The 16,721-nt window shown below is 39.7% G+C and overlaps 1 protein-coding gene across 65 annotated transcripts in view, besides 1 other annotated feature; it reads right to left on the bottom strand.

Moving 5' to 3' along the window:
- LTBP1 (latent transforming growth factor beta binding protein 1) overlaps positions 1-16,721 on the bottom strand; it is a 452,557-nt gene that overhangs the window by 83,360 nt on the left and 352,476 nt on the right. For all 65 annotated transcript variants that reach the window (XM_011532853.3, XM_011532857.3, XM_011532861.3 and 62 more), the window contains 4 exons: positions 15,577-15,699; positions 14,506-14,628; positions 6,594-6,716; positions 881-1,006 (listed from right to left, as the gene is read on the bottom strand). In XM_011532853.3, the coding sequence (XP_011531155.1) occupies positions 881-1,006; positions 6,594-6,716; positions 14,506-14,628; positions 15,577-15,699 (495 nt within the window). The remainder of the gene's footprint in view (positions 1-880; positions 1,007-6,593; positions 6,717-14,505; positions 14,629-15,576; positions 15,700-16,721) is intronic.
- Positions 6,868-7,066: a silencer, noted in NCBI's record as "fragment chr2:33534151-33534349 (GRCh37/hg19 assembly coordinates)". NCBI's record gives its function as "represses an EF-1alpha promoter that drives an FKBP-Casp9 reporter gene in an ReSE screen in phorbol 12-myristate 13-acetate-treated (for megakaryocytic differentiation) K562 erythroleukemia cells {active_cell/tissue: K562(+PMA)}" and the evidence as "EXISTENCE:reporter gene assay evidence [ECO:0000049][PMID:32094911]".

Here is a 16,721-nt window from a genome sequence, read left to right as displayed (position 1 = left end):
TGCTGTATTCTTGCAAACATACAGAGGTTGTAAGTAGGAAGCCAAGAGCATTATCTTAACATCTTACAACTTAATTAGCTTTTAGGAGATAATAAATACTGGTAGGTAAGTAAATATACTGCCTTGGAAATAAGGATATTAGGGGAAGAATTCTAGAAGATCTGTTCACAGTGATACAGAAAAATCAAGCAAGACATTCTTTTTTTCTTTTTTAGACGGAGTCTTACTCTTGTCGCCCAGGCTGGAGTGCAATGGTGCCATCTCGGCTCACGGCAGCCTCTGCCTCCTGGGTTACAGTGGTTCTCCTGCCTCAGCCTCCCAAGTAGCTGGGATCACAGACACCCACCACCACACCTGGCTAATTTTTGTATATTCAGTAGAGATGAGGTTTCACCATGTTGGCCAGGCTTGGTCTTCAACTCCTGATCTCAAGTGATCCACCTGCCTGGGCCTCCAAAAGTGCTGGTGTGAGCCACCGCACCCAGCCGCAAGACATTTTTTACACACAGAATGATCAAGACGATCTACATGAAGCACAATCAAAAGAAGCAGAGTCCCAGGGGAAAGGGAAGTTGCCACAGTTTTCCTTTAGGTCTCCTACATGTCTCCTATCAGTCCTTGCACATTTCCACTCATTAATTCAGTACCAGTCGTGGAGCCATCTGTGAGTGTTTTTATCATCATAACCTTAGGTTATCCTCTTCGTAAATCCCAGCAACCCCTGAGCTATGCTTTCAGATATGGTTTACTTTGATGCATACATGCTTTGAGGCTCTGAATTATGCAGTACCTCTTAGTGTCTTCAAGTCTTTGTATAAGTGAAAGCAATCTCCTCTCTCTTTTATCACACAACAATATGATTTCGTATGGTTTATCTTACCTTCACACGTACGGCCATCTGCAGAGATTGAGAAACCCTGCTGGCAGACACAATGGAAAGAACCCTCTGTGTTTAGGCACTCCCCTTGCGGACCACAGAGCCCTGGATGTTCACATTCATTAATATCTGTAATTTAAAATAGAGTCTTAAAAACTTGAAAAAAATCGGTTTCATTCCCATATACTATCAAACAGATGGCAAATAAATCTATTATGACATGGCTGGACATTTATTTAGTGGAACAACTATACCATTTGTCCATAAATCAACCACAGGACAAGCTGAGTTATGAGAGAGAAACTATTTAGGTTGAGTTAGGAAATAGCCAATGTACAATCATTTTTGACCTGCAAAAAAAGCAATTTCATAGGTTCAACCCAAAGCTACCCTTATTTTAGACATATGGGGCTTGAGGAATACTCCACAACTCTGAGAGATGCTCTTCATTGGTGAGAATGCTGTCCTTCTTTGCCCTCTCCCATTGCCATGCACACAGCTGTTATAGTCTGTAGTACCTTGTTACATTCCTGCCTATCCATCCCTAGGATGTGGGCTTCTTAAGGGCAAGGCTAGACATGTCTTATTTATAGTATTTGGCTCATAAATGGCACTTCACAAATGTCTGCTGAATATATAAATGAAATAGACTCCAATCTATAACTCATTGGAAATGGGTAATAGAAATAAAATACAAGTAAAAGAAGGCCTGTTTAGTTATTTTAGAGACAGGGTCTCACTCTTTTGCCCAGGCTGCAGTGCAGTGCATGATCATGGCTCACTGCAGTCTCAAACTCCAGGGCACAGGTAATCCTCTCTCCTCAGCCTCTCGAGTGGCTGGCACTAAGGTACTGGCCCCATGCCTGGCAAATTTTTTAAATTTTTGGCAGAGATGGGGTCTCACTATGATGCCCAGGCTGGTCTGGAACTCCTGGCCTCAAGTGATCCTCCTGTCTCCGCCTTCCAAAGTGCCGCAATTACAGAGGTGAGCCACCATGCTTGGCTGAGAAGGACTTTTAGACCATGAAAATTCGTATTTGCATGGTTTCCGATGATGAAATCAGCGAATGAGGGCTCAGGGCAGTGCCTACCACACAATGAAGCGTCAAAAAGCAATAACTACTATTAAGAAGACTCATGAACAGATCATGCCATACACTTGTGTTGTCGACTTTATGCTCAGCTTGTCCTCAGTGTAATTGTGCTCCCCGTGGCCAGGGTCAAGGGCTACTTCCAAACACTGATAACACATGGACTGTTTACTATAAGTAAAAGGCTCTTTCAAACCAGTTCTAATTATATTGGCTAACAGTGCCCAAGATGACAACATAAAGCGCCTAGAGAAAGTTTCACCTGTTCACAATGGTTCTGATACATGCAACTGCCTAATTGTTGGTTTACTCATCTGTGTCCCTCATTACACTGATGGCTCCTTGATAAACGATCTCAGCTGAAAAGCTCTGAGTTCCTGACTCCTATTGGGTACATTGCAGGGTCTTATGAATGTTTGTCCACCACAAAATTTCTCAGTTATTTTCCTTCTCCGCTAACTGAATGGTGACTGGTGAAGGTTCTTTTAGTTAATTGGGGGTCATAAAAATGATCCCATGTCCTTAGCAGCAGCATTCAGGAGGCATACCTCCACTAAGGTCGTTTTCCTATCTTCCCCAAGTCTCGTAGGCCCTCCCTTTATCTCTTACAAAAGAGGTCTTCAGTACAGGAACCCACATGAATACTGCAAAGCTTAATAAGGACAGGGAAAAGGTACAGAATGTATGTTCTTCCTATTGGCTGCTACAACACGCTTAGCCACTGACCCAGTGGTCCTCAATAAAGTCATCCCTTTCCCTACAGCCAGAATCTCCTGAAGCTCTTCTTTTTGACTTGTTGATCTTCCCGTGCAACAGAAATTCTGGCAATTATTGGTTTAAACGTCTTCCTTTATTAATCTTGAACTCTTTAGCCTTCCATCTGCAACATAATTCAGATTATTTGGCCTGTCCATCGCTGAATAAAAATAAGAAACCCAACAGGAATTACTCATACTTTCTTAACAATTCTCCTATTCTTGTTACTGTCACTAGTTTTTAGATATTTCAAGGAAGGTCAATGAATCATTTTCTACTTATGTATTTCTCAATATGATTTTACTCTGTGAAATTCTTTACTTCTTTGATAAAATCTCTGACATTGTCTATGTTTGTTCTCTACCTATTGGTAATATCTTAGATTGGCCATCCTTTTTGAAGTTTGACCTCCTTTTGGTCCTCAGATCCACTCTTTATTTCCAACCTGCTGCCCAAGAATTACCTCTATCTGAGGAAGAAGGTGGCATGAAGTTCCACTGGCTTGGGGATCAAGCTCAGGACCTATATCCATCTTATTAAGCCCTAATAGCTACCTGAGACCCCTCTTCTTATTTTATCCTATGCCTCAGTGTGGCCCTTTAAAAACTACCTGCTTTGCAACTTTGCATAGGGAATAATGTGCACAAAGTTTTTTCATCAAAAAAGTCACTGATTAACACAAATAATTGTCTAAAAAGTTTGATGACGGGAACTGAAGATGAATTCCTAGACTTTTTTTTTTTCCAGGAAACTGCTAAGAAAGAACAACATGAATATTTGGAACTAGGGAAACATATGCATTCAATTTGGATTGTACTTATTGAGGCATTTCTAAACTATGCTGCTAGTAACTTCAAGCTGAAAGCCAGACTATATTTAAGTTGGGTTTCTTTCATGGGTCCGCGATTCCACAGAAATTCATAATTTGGCATGCGTAAATCAAAACATGAAACTGAACTGCATTCTGAATCTCAAATGTATCCTGCCACATTTCTAAAGAGACTATTAACATGGAATTTCCATACTGTCTGTATATCATCATTAGTTTTGTATGGGAAAGAAAATCTTAAACACGCTTCCAACTGAAAATGCCTTACTGAATATAGAAGTATTTTCAGAACATTAGGTAAGGTTTAAAGTTTATGCCTATCACACACTGTTATTCAAACATGTCCATGGTTATTAGCATTGCCATCAATTACATTTTCAGAATTTAAACAAACTCTGAAATCTACACCTCTCCACAGAATGCTGACATGATCAAGGGATTAGAGAAAAGTAGGCTACTAACTTCAGGCAGAGTGAAAGATCACAAAACTGCCTCTAGTGAAAGAGCGAAAAGGGATAATTCAAAACGAGGTGAGTATATACATGCCATCATATACAGCTTCTAACAGGAGGTGGTGGGTGATAAAACAGATTCACAGACACTATTCTTTAAACAGTACTAAGACCTACTTCAGAAATGCTTCTCATTTATTTGGATTTACATTTTTCAGACATATTAACTTATTCTGGAAAATAGGAATATATGTGACAGAGAACGAAGTCAATTTAATAATGATTGATAGTCAATAAAACTCTCTATGTTTGGAGTAGTCACATATTTGAGAGGTGATATCAAACCACAGACACAAATTTAATATATTGAGAGAATGAAGTAGTGCAATTAATGAATCAGATAACTAAATTAGTTCCGTGTGACTGAACTCTAGAAGTTAAATTTATGCAATATGAAATCTTGGTCCATTTTTATTAAGATTTGGTTTTGCCTGTATTTGGCCAAAACAAATTGTGACGAGAAGAATTAGAAAAGAAAATATACTTTTAAGCCAAAAAGCCTATAATAAAAACAAGAGTCAGGGTTTGGTTTCCTTTTTTTTTTTTTTTCCATCTCTTGGTATTTTTATATAAATCAAGATTCATTTTGTTAAAAGGTAATAGTCCCAAAGTGGAAATATTCTCACATATATTTATAATTCAAATATTCCTTCTCTTTTGCATTAAGTCCAAGCACATTTAATTTCTGCATTGGAAAAAATTGAATTTCACCTTATTGCATGAGGATGGCAAATAAATACATGATCTCAAATGAGGTACATGGTATATTTAAATCTTGGGATTTTTAAAATATCTGTCTTGGGTACACATCAAGTGCAGGAAGGTGTATATTTAAATCTTTGGATCAGTAAAGGAATTAATTTTTAAAAACCTTGTGGCAAAGGTCCGTGTTTTTCATATCTCTGACACATGGCTGGGTGTGACCGGTAATATAGATATATAATTCCAGTGCCACTATCTTAGAGAGTAGATACCATCTTCTCCTACAAGAAGACTGTTATTTGGGACATGTGAGATGAGATATAACTTATGGCAATCCAGAATTTTAAAAAAATCATACATATTCAGTAATAGTGGGTAAAAAGTAACTCCAACAATTTTTTTTATTTATTTATGCTTTGGGATACACTACACAGTTCCATAATGGTAGATAAACAATAAGAAAAAAATAACATTTATTGGGTATCAAAAATAAACAGATATAAAGGTAAAATAAGTGTGAATTTTCCATGGAAAATATAAACATGGGTTTACTAACACTAGTAAATAGAGGAAAGCTTGTGGGGCAAGTCAGGTATAGCTAAAAATGTTGGGATACAGAACCTAGAGAATTTAATTTTTTTAGCTATGGTGTTGAAATGACTCAATGGGCTACCTTGTGAGAGAAATCACTTAATTTCACTTTCTTCTTTCTTTTGGCTATAAATGTAACAATAATTGGTATGGCAATGTAGGGAAGAGTAGTGGGAAAAGACCCTGGGTTCAAATCTCAACTTTACCACTCATTAGAGAGCAGCATACTCCCTAACTTCTCGGAGCCTCAGTTACTCATGCACAAAATGAATACAAGAAAAGCTACCTCTGAAGTTGCTGTAAGAATTCGAAGAGATACCAAGATACCTACAGTACTCAGCACACTGAAGAAGCTCAGTTACAGCTGCTGTGATTGTTATTATTAGTACCTGTGTTGTGTTGCTGTGTTTTCATTAGTACCCTTCATGCACTGTACAGTTTGGAAGATTAAACATGACAGCACATTGAAAAAATATAAGATCCTCTTCTTCATGATTTTGACCAAATTATTAGTGAGGCTTTTTAGGAAGAGAAAAAGCAATGGTGAGCCAGGTGCAGTGGCTCATGCCTGTAATCCCAGCATTTTGGAGGCCAAAGCGGGTGGATCACGAGGTCAGGTGTTCAACACCAGCCTGGCCAAGGTGGTGAAACCCCCGTCTCCAGTAAAAATACAAAAATTTGCCGGGTGTGGTGGCAGGCGCCTGTAATCCCAGCTACTCAGGAAGCTGAGGCAGGAGAATCGCTTGAACCTGGGAGGTGGAGGTTGCAGTGAGCCGAGATCATACCACTGCACTCCAACCTGGGTGACAAGAGCGAGACTCTGTCTCAAAAAAAAAAAAAAAGCAATGGCGGGCACTGGATAAAAATAGAGTCAGAAAAGGACAGATAAATACCACCTATGAGACAAAATAAAATATGCCCATAAAAGATGCTATAAAGATAATTTAGAACCCAGTACCAAGGTTACAGCATGGAATAAACAGTAAAGTACAGGTGACGGAAGCACGCAGTGAGGACACAGCTCTTACTCGTGTGAGTTTCAGTTGACACTATGCTGGACAAAGCAACACCTTCCTGCACTTGATGTGGACCCAAGACAGCTATTTTAATATCAAAAATTGACATAAATTATTTACATATAAATCACATGGCAAAACCACAGACTATCATCTGGCAACATGGCAGAATTGAAGAATTACGTAAATAATGACTGGGGAAAAAAGAGCAAGAAATACCTTGACATGTTTTATTGTCATCTAGCTGAAATCCATCCGGACAAGTACAATCATAGGACCCTGCAGTATTAATGCAGTCTCCTCTCTGGCAAACACTCTTGTCCTCCAAGCATTCATTGATATCTAAAAACCAATTTAAAAATTTTTAAAGACTAAATAAATCACATATCGGAAAATTAGACATTTCTCTTACATGTAAAGGTACACTATTTTACATCATTTATAATACATAATTTTAAATACATGACAACTTTTTAACTTTTTTTTTTTTTTTTTGAGACGGAGTCTTGCCATCACCCATGCTGGAGTGCAGTGGCGCTATCTTGGCTCACTGCAACCTCTGCCTCCCAGGTTCAAGTGATTCTCATGCCTCAGCCTCCCGAGTAGTTGGGATTATAGGCGCCCACCACCACGCCCAACTAATTTTTGTATTTTTAGTAGAGATGGGGTTTCACCATGTTGGCCAGTCTGGTCTTCAACTCCGGACCTCAAGTGATCCGCCCACCTCAGCCTCCCAAAGTGTTGAGATTACAGACATGAGCCACCACACCTGGCCAAGAAATGGAACTTTTAAACATCAAATGAAATTAAATGGAAGAGGAAAAGTCAAAATTCTGTAGCAAATAATAATTTACTTGATTATATTGTTGGTGATGATAAAGACTTAAAATATTTCAAAAATACTTATTAAGTGTATCTTGAGCAACACTTGATCTATTTATACAAGCTTCTGTATTATGCATTATAGAAAAAAATTTAAAAGTTTTCAGCATGGTCTTTGTCCCCAAGAGAAATGTTTGTTCAAAGAAACAAACTATATTGTATTATTAACAATAAAATAAACAAATGATATTGTATTATTAAACATAAAATATTACATTGTTTTATAAGTCCAAACCAATGTAACATAAGAATTGTCACAAAATATAATTATCTGACAAAGTAGTAGCATCAACTTTAGGGGTCATATGCATTTAGACAAAGAATATCATAAAGTTTAAAATAAAACTTTTGTGTAACAGAAGCATATCTGTAAATTTACTTATAGTAAATTTCACAGTAGGGTAGAATATGGGGGAGTCGGAAGAAGAGGGACTTTTGAACAGAAGGAGAACAGCAAGATCAAAAACCTAGTTTAAGTCACTTATTCAGCAGCTGTAACAAACAGGTTTGAGGTAGCCTGGATTTTAAAAAATGTTTAAAAATGTTTAAAAAAATTCATAGCAAATGCGCAACTAAAAGTGGTATACATAACCAATAACGAGTTTTGACTGTGAGAATGAAAGACAATTAATGGCTCCCCTTCACCGCATGAATGCGAGCAGATCTTTCTCAAGGGCTGCTGATTACCATGTTTACCCCTAGTCAAAGCACATTATTCCTAATGTACTCCATGAGCCCTCTTCTGTTGTGAATGTGAGGATTTAAGTTATTAGCAACGAAGAAAGCTAAGAAACAAAACCTTCTTTGTTTTCTCAGAACTTGGCATTTTATGGCATTTCTTGCAAATAATTGTAATTGCTGCCAAAATATGAGAGATTCCAGGAAGAAGTGAATATGGAGACTGTTGCCATCTGTCTAATACGCCCGGCTGTCTGGTTCAAGTACGGTGATACCGAATTTCATTTTTCTCCTAGAATCCAATCAACCAATTAACAGGCTTCTGTACTATTCACAGGGCAAACAAAAGAGAAATAAGAGAGTGCCTTATCACTTCTTTCTATCAAATAAAACCACGTTATTATAATGACTGTTCACCCAGAATTAAAATGCTTCCGGGTACTGACCCTAAAACATAAAACACAGGTGATGTGAATTTGTCTCAACTAAGGCAGGTTCTCAACTTTTTCTTTAATGTGTTTTTCTAGCTTTACTGAAGTATAATGTACATAAAATAAATTGATCTACTTAAGAGTCAGCTCAATGAGTTTTGACAAATGTATACACATCCTTGTGACCACCATCCCAGTCAAGGAACAGGCATTTCCATCCCCAATACATTCCCTCTCACTCCTTTTGTGCTTTGGGGCTTCTTCCTCTCGGCATAATAGTTTTGAGATTCACCCAAGTTGCTGTGTGTATCAGTAGTTCTCTGTGCTTTATTGCTGGGTAGAATTCCATTGGATGAATGCACCATAATTTGTTTACTCATTCACCTTTTGATAAGCATTTTGGGTTGTTTCCATCTGGGCCATTGTGAATAAGGTTTCTATAAATATTTCTAAAATCATAAGTCTTTGTGTGAACATATGATTTTACCTTTTTTGAGTAAATACCCAGGAAAACGATGCATGGGTCATGGAATTAGGTTATATTTAAGTTTTGAAAAACTGTTATCTGAAGTGGCTGTAGCAATTACATTCCCACAGGAAACATATGAGAACTCCGATTGTTCCACATTTACTCTGACAGCTCTACAACTATTTTAATGGGTGTAAAGTAGACAATCAGTTATGTTTTGTTTTGTTTTTGAGATGGAGTCTCGCTCTGTTGCCAGGCTGGAGTGCAGCGGTGTATCTCGGCTCACTGCAACCTCCGCCTCCCGGGTTCAAGCAATTCTCCTGCCTCAGCCTCCCAAGTAGCTGGGACTACAGGCGCCCACCACCACGCCCAACTGATTTTTGTATTTTTAGTAGAGACGGGGTTTCACCATGTTGGCCAAGACGGTCTCGATCCCTTGACCTTGTGATCCACCCGCCTCGGCCTCCCAAAGTGCTGGGATTACAGGTGTGAGCCACTGCACCCGACTGACAATCAGTTTTTCCATTAACCTTTCTTTCTTTGCTTTGTAGGAAATGGAGATAATGAAGCGAGGAGAAGCATATTTGATCAGTGACATTAAATAAAAAACTCAATTCAAAAAAGATCATAAGAGAATCCTGGGAATATGAATTTCTACAAGAAAAAACACTTCATAACCTAGATGTTTGCCTCAGCATAATGGAAGCATGTTGCTCTGTTCATGCTGGTTTTTGGTTTTTTTTTTTGAGACTGAGTTTTGCTCTATCACCCAGGCCGGAGTACAGTGGCGTGATCTTGACTCACTGCAACTATTGCCACCCAGGTTCAAGCGATTCTCCTGCCTCAGCCTCCCCAGTAGCTGGGATTACAGGCGCCTGCCACCACGGCCGGCTAATTTTTGTATTTTTAGTAGAGATGGGGTTTTACCATGTTGGCCAGGCTGGTCTCGAACTCCTGACCTCAAGTGATTCACCCGCCTCGGCCTCCCAAAGTGCTGGGATTACAGGCGTGAGCCACCATGCCCGGCTCTGTTCATGCTACTTTAAAGCAATTTGATTCTCATTTATTTTCCAAAATCTAAGACAAATAATGAATGTGAGGGAAAAGAGCATTATTTAAAGTGTTTATAAATAATTATATACATTAGAAAGCTGAGCATATGTTAGGGTTAGGTTTAGTTTAAATTTTTTTTTGCAAGGCCTTTATCTGTCTTCAAAGCAATAAGAAGGTTGAACATTACGAGAGCACAACATGGTACTATTTCGTACCACCACCTGGGGTAGTGCGAAAATATATATTTTTCCTAGAAGTAGAGTAAAAGGTTTTAAGGGCAGGAACAGTGAATCACTGTCATCTTTCTACCAAGACTGAGCTTGTTGAGGTCACCAACTACTTCCAGCTTGCTAAAAATCCCATGGTTAACTTTTGGTTCTTCTGTTACCTAGCAATAACATTTGACACAATCCATCACTCCCTCCTCCTTGAAACACTTTCTTCTCTTGGATTCTGGGTTTTCTCCTTCTTCACTTGCCACTTTTTCCTCAATCTCCTTTGCTGGTTCTTACCCATTTCCTCACTTCTAAATGTTGGAGGGCCCGGGATTTATCTCTCTTCTAGCTACACTCATTCCCAATTAATTTCATGGCCTAGAACTCACCCCTAAATTCCAAATGCATAGATACAATTGCCTTTCAGATATCTTCCTTCAAATATTCATCTTGGGCATCAAAAGTGGAAAGTGCTGACGTGGTGCCCCTCAGGTCTCCACATAGCTGGTTCCTCGGGCATCCGCATCTGCTATTCCCTTGAACTGAATGCTCTACCCATAAATGATTAAGTGTTATCATCCCAGCGAGGCCTCTACTTGCCTCTTTATTTAAAATCACCACCCTTCCTCAACACTCCCCATATACCCCGCTCTATTTTCTCTGTAAAATTTATTGCCATTTAACGAACTATATATTTTACTTATTTATCATATATATATATTTTGAGACATAGTCTTGCTCTGTTGCCCAGGCTGGAGTGCAATGGCGTGATCTTGGCTCGTTGCAACCTCTGCCTCCTGGGTTCGAGTGATTTTTCTGCCTCAGCCTCCTGAGTAGTTGGGACTACAGGCACACGCCGCCACACCCAGATAATTTTTCTTTTTTTTTTGTATTTTTAGTAGAGATGAGGTTTCACCATGTTGGCTAAGATGGTCTCGATCTCCTGACCTCGTGATCCACCTGCCTCGGAACTCCCAAAGTGCTGGGATTATAGGCGTGAGCCACTGCACCCAGCCATTTATTGTATTTTTTCGTTATCTCCCACACTACAATGTAAGCTACAAAAGGGAAGAAATTTCTGTTTGGTTTATTGCCCTATGCCTAGAACAGTGTCTGGCACAAGCTCCACACTAAATAAATATTTGAACAAATACATAAGTGAATGTATGAATGACTCTGATTTGGAAAGAAATACTATCCCACCTTTCCACCTTTTTAAAATTTTGTCCACAAATAAATGACCAAGAGCAAAGGGCACAGAGGGAAAGGGAAAGACATTGTAAGTAATGAGTCATCTTCTCAGCTTTGTAAAGGACTGCAGGGAGCAACCTTAGTGAGGGATTGGGGAAAGGTTAAGGTAGACACGAGATTAAAGACTGTGCTTGGAGGGAACAAGTCACAGGCAGAGCCTTTGAAAGCTGAGATGCTCCAGACTCCTAAGAATGAGGACAATTGAGGCACGTTCATTATCACAGAATGACTAGCTACCAAGCATGCTGGAGTCAGTAGCGCACAGAAGCAGGCACAACACTTGGGAGTCTGACTCTACGAGGAGGCCAGCAGGATGACAGGACAATAAGAAAACAAGGTCTTTGCCAGAACCATTAGGGGAAAATTACACGTGTAAACATAAAAGCCAACAAGAAAGATGGCTCTTCCTTGCACAGCTGTCAGAGGCGTGTGAACAGTCACGGTTTAGTTAATTATGGCTAAATATCACTGGGGAGGGTCGGAAACATTGCTAGTTGGGAATTAGCAGGCTGAGGTGCTAACATAGTTTCAAAGGGAGCTCTAAATTAGTTGGATGGACTCCAGTCCTATTTATAACCCAGTACACTAGAGAAACTAGTCCTGACTTTAAAAGGGCCTGATTATATATTCCAAAAGAAGCTTTCTTACGGAACATAGTCATATCTTATATACATTAATAATGAAGAACGAGTTTGCTAAAAGCTTTTGTTTGACTTTTCATGCAATGGATGTTTTTGGAATAAAAACCTTAGACTTCTGTTAAAATGCTTACACATTAAAAGAGACAAAGCGAGGAACATGCCCTCCAATGAACATCAGTTACCCAAGACTTAATCAATGGTGCAGTTCCTTCTTGGCTTGGCCAGGAATCAGGACAGAGGAGATGCTGATGGTCAGTTTACATTTTTAGTGCCCTAGCACAGGGGTCCTCAATCCCTGGGCCATGGACCGGTACGGGTCCGTGGCCTGTTAGGAACCGGGCGGCACTGCAGGAGGTGAGCAGCAGGGAGCGAGCATTACCGCCTGAGCTCCATCTCCTGACAGATCAGCAGCTGGATTCGATTCTCATAGGAGGGCGAACCCTCTTGTGAACAGCGCATGTGAGGGATCTAGGTTGCACGCTCCTTATGAGAATCTAACCAATGCAGGCCAGGTGCGGTGGCTCACGCCTGTAATCCCAGCACTTTGGGAGGCCGAGATGGGCGGATCACGAGGTCAGGAGATCAAGACCATCCAGGTTAACACGGTGAAAACCCGTCTCTATTAAAAATACAAAAAAATTAGCCGGGCATGGTGGCAGGTGCTTGTAGTCCCAGCTACTCGGGAGGCTGAGGCAGGAGAATGGTGTGAACCTGGGAGGCGAAGCTTGCAGTGAGCTGAGATCGTGCCACTGCCCTCAGCCTGGGTGACAGAGCGAGATTCCGTCTCAAAAAAAAAAAAAAAAGAAAATCTAACTAATGCCTGATGATCTGAGGTGGGACAGTTTCATCCTGAAACCATCCCCTCAACCCCATCCAGGGAAAAACTGGCTTCCACGAAACTGGTCCCTGTGTGCCAAAAAAGTTGGGGACCACTGCCCTAGAATATACCTTACCAGTTACTTAGTTCTAGAATAGATTCTTCCATAAATGTCTCCCTCCAACACCACCAACCCTCCCACCTTGGGATGTCACTATCTAGAATCATTATCATTTACCCATATATTAGAGAGTTCCTAAAACACAACTTTTTCATACATAGTCCTATCTTATATTATCACTTATCTGACCTATTTCTCAATAGGGGTGTGTGTGCGTGTGTTTGTGTGTGTTTGTGTGTGTGTGTGTGTGTGTGTGTGTGTGTGTGTAAAAATATTAGCTGGGCGCCACCACGCCCAGCTAATATTTGTATTTTTTTAGTAGAGACGGGGTTTCAGCATGTTGGCCAGGCTGGTCTTGACCTCCTGACCTCAGGTGATCCACCTGCCTCGGCCTCCCAAAGTGCTGGAATTACAGGCATGAGCCACCACATCTGGCCTCAATAGGTATATTGATTACAACTTTTCACTGGTGTTATTAACTCTTTGAGGAACATGATCACCTTAGGATAAAATCTTAGAAGTTGATTTACTGATTCATTAACAGTATACACTTTAAGGCCTTTAAAACGCTGCCAAAATTGCCTTCCCGAGGGTTGGGTCATTTACACTCCCAGCAGCAGGAGGATATGGGGCTCAGCCACTTGTGACTGCTTCTGCCAAGTTCTCTGGTCAGAAATGTAGATGCTGTAAATGACAATAGATCTTTCCCAATCCACTGGACTGGTAGTGAAAAAGGATCTGGGGCTGCTGAAATGTGTGTGTCATGAAACCATTCACCAAAAGGCTCATCCACTTCTCTCAAAGGTGGGGTTCAGACCCTCCTTCAAAAACTTGGACCCTGCATGGGAGACACAACCCTGCCAACATGCATATTTCTGGTTTCACAACTGACAGGCTCTAAATGCAGTGAAACCTCAGGTGGGCTGGGAAAAAGCTTGTTACTTAGGTGGACAATGAATGCAGAGAAAGGTCACAAGTGACAGACCGGTGGTAAAAGTGAAAAAGAAGCCCACTGGGAGAAGATATTCCCCGCTCCATAAGCAGGCCTGGTTCAGTCACCCAACCACTGCAGAGAGCTTCTTAGCCAAACAAGTAGTGAAAGTGGTTGATGACTGCACGATACTGGACATGTGGGATATCTTTCAGAAATATTTTATGCAAAAAGCCAAAAACTGAATTGATGTTTGGCTCTGAAAAACCTTCTAATTGCCTGGAAAATTAAGTTGTATTTACTTATTTGGAACATTTAGAAGTTGGTTCTGCATAAATAAGGTGTTACAGTTCAGAACTATGTACCCAGGATAAACCATCTATAGCTGGTAAAGTTAAACTGATTCTTTTATGCCTTTGGCTGGCACAAGTCTAAAAGACAGCTCCAAGCAGTGCAAAGATAATCTGGACTCTACTCCCTTCTTTGAATTATTTGTGTGACCCCGGGGAAGACACTTTGCAGGGACCTAATGTCTTCACTATGAAATCAAGAGATGAGGTTCAAAGATCAAGGCTGAGATGATGCCCAGATTTCCCTCCGATCTGGGCATTTTATGATTCTGAAATCAGGAGCAATTCTTACCTTCACAGTGGTCTCCAAGCCCAGATGCTCTGTAACCCTGGTCACACACACATTGAAAAGAGCCCTCAGTGTTCCTGCACTGCCCATGAGCACAGAGATGACGGTGCTGGCATTCATCAATGTCTATGAGCAAGAGAATACAAAGAAACTGTGGAAGTGGTGCTTCAAAAACATTTTCAATCAGTCTCAATTGGATCAGTGTAAATTCTAGAAAGACAATGTTGATACAAGTAATGACCATCATGTATTGTCGCTTTTGTAATACTATCTCAGGAGACTTTTTTGCTTCTCAAATATTCAGAGTATACATGAAGACGTGGATATTGTTTATTTATGAAACAATGGCCTTATACAGTGTGGATTCTGTTCTTAAATAAGAAATGGCGTTTCCTCTCAAGAACTCTGGACACTTGTGGTTGACACAGGTGAGATCATAATATCTTCAAGTTCAGGAAGCACATACTTATTGGGAAGTGAAGTATTTCTGTGTGCAATTCAATGAAATGTTTCTTTAAAAAGTCTAAGGTCAACCCTAGCAAATCCAGAATCCTCACTATCAGCTGTAGGAACAGAACATATTTTGCAAACTTTCTCTCTAAGGGGGACATTATTACAGTTTTATTGAGAAATCTTCTTTAGCGATTTTTTTAAAAGACAAAATTTTTCAACGTTAAATACAAAAATTAAGGTTATTAACATTCCACAGCATAAAGCAGCCCGATATAATGACTTTCTAATTGCTGAAATCCAAGTATATAAAAACTTTAAATTAATTTACATGTTTAAATGGAAATTACCTTCTGTAGTAAAGAATTACACAGAAAGCAATAATTTTTCTTCTTAATACTAATGCCTAGCCATTGATAGCTAATGCCATAGGTTTTCAAATTTAACTGTCTTCAATCTTGTTTTATTGACTTTCCTAACTTATGTTTAAGTCCTGGCTTTCTGGCACTATAATGCAATTATCTGGGTAATTTTTAAAAGGTAAACTCACTTGATTGAGCGTACCTTTTTCAGACCAGGTGCTTTAAGCTGAAGTTTCAGTAGTTCATGTTACTACCCTCTTACCTTCACACTGGTCTTTAGCTGCCGACAGCTGGTACCCCTGTCCACAGGTGCACCTGAAGGAGCCCTCGGTATTTTTGCACTGCCCGTTTACACATAGATTCCCTTGCTGACATTCATCAATATCTGCAAACACAACAACGGCAATTTTTCTGAAAAAGAGACTACCCAGGAGAATGCAGTGCTCCCTGCAATGCATTCTGGGATTAGTGTAACAAAAATAATAGTACTTCTTATGTCTGGCACTACACACTTTAGTATTTATCACTCCACCCATGCTGTTGTATCAACCTCAGTATACTGATCTATAGAATAGAAATAACTAAAAATAGACAATAAATCAATAAGCTATTTATAATAATCATACTCCTCACCATCAGTGTCTTGGAATACAACATGAAATATTTTAGAGCTGCAAACAGAAGGCAGAACCTGATGCAATATAATGTCGCTCAGATAGTTTGCAGACCTGTTTAGTTGCATGAAAGAAGTCAGAAGGAAAACTCGACTAGGAATTTGAAAAACAAAACCAAAAACATAGGCAGTTATGGAAGGAAACAGATAATTCTACTTTGTCTAGAAGTTGAACTATAAGGCCAAACAGTTGTATAAAGAACTCTGGCTCATTTTCAAAGTAACAAGGAAAGCCAAGAGAAATGGTAGTATTATGATGACTGCTGAATACCAAAGGAGAAAGTGATAAGTGAGGATTTTTAAACATGCTTTGACAAGATAAAATCACTAACTGAGAAAGAAGATAATTCTTAATAAGTGTCCTAGAAAATGTCATGTATACGAAGTTATACAACTGAAGCAAAGGACTGGCTTCATCAATAACTTGAACACGTCTGGTAAGAGTAGAGTCTTCCAGATGTTTTTGTTTGGCCATTATATTGGTCCGACCTAAGCAGATAATTCTGTCTTGCCTTGTCAGTGCAAATACAGCCTCAGAATGTTCTGCTGAATGGCTAGCCAACTTATAAGAGTTTATGATTATTAAAACATGGTAGGTACAACTGATCTTCATCACCTACATGACAGGTTTGTTGTGAAGATTACCGAAGGGAATAGATATAAAACACTTTAGCCCTATACTCACAGGAGGAGAAAGGAGCCCTAATCTAAAGGGAGTAATAAATAAAATAGAG

Source organism: Homo sapiens, chromosome 2 (assembly GCF_000001405.40).
Source record: "Homo sapiens chromosome 2, GRCh38.p14 Primary Assembly".
Classification (NCBI taxonomy): Eukaryota; Metazoa; Chordata; class Mammalia; order Primates; family Hominidae; genus Homo; species Homo sapiens.
This window is presented reverse-complemented; position numbering and strand designations above follow the sequence as displayed.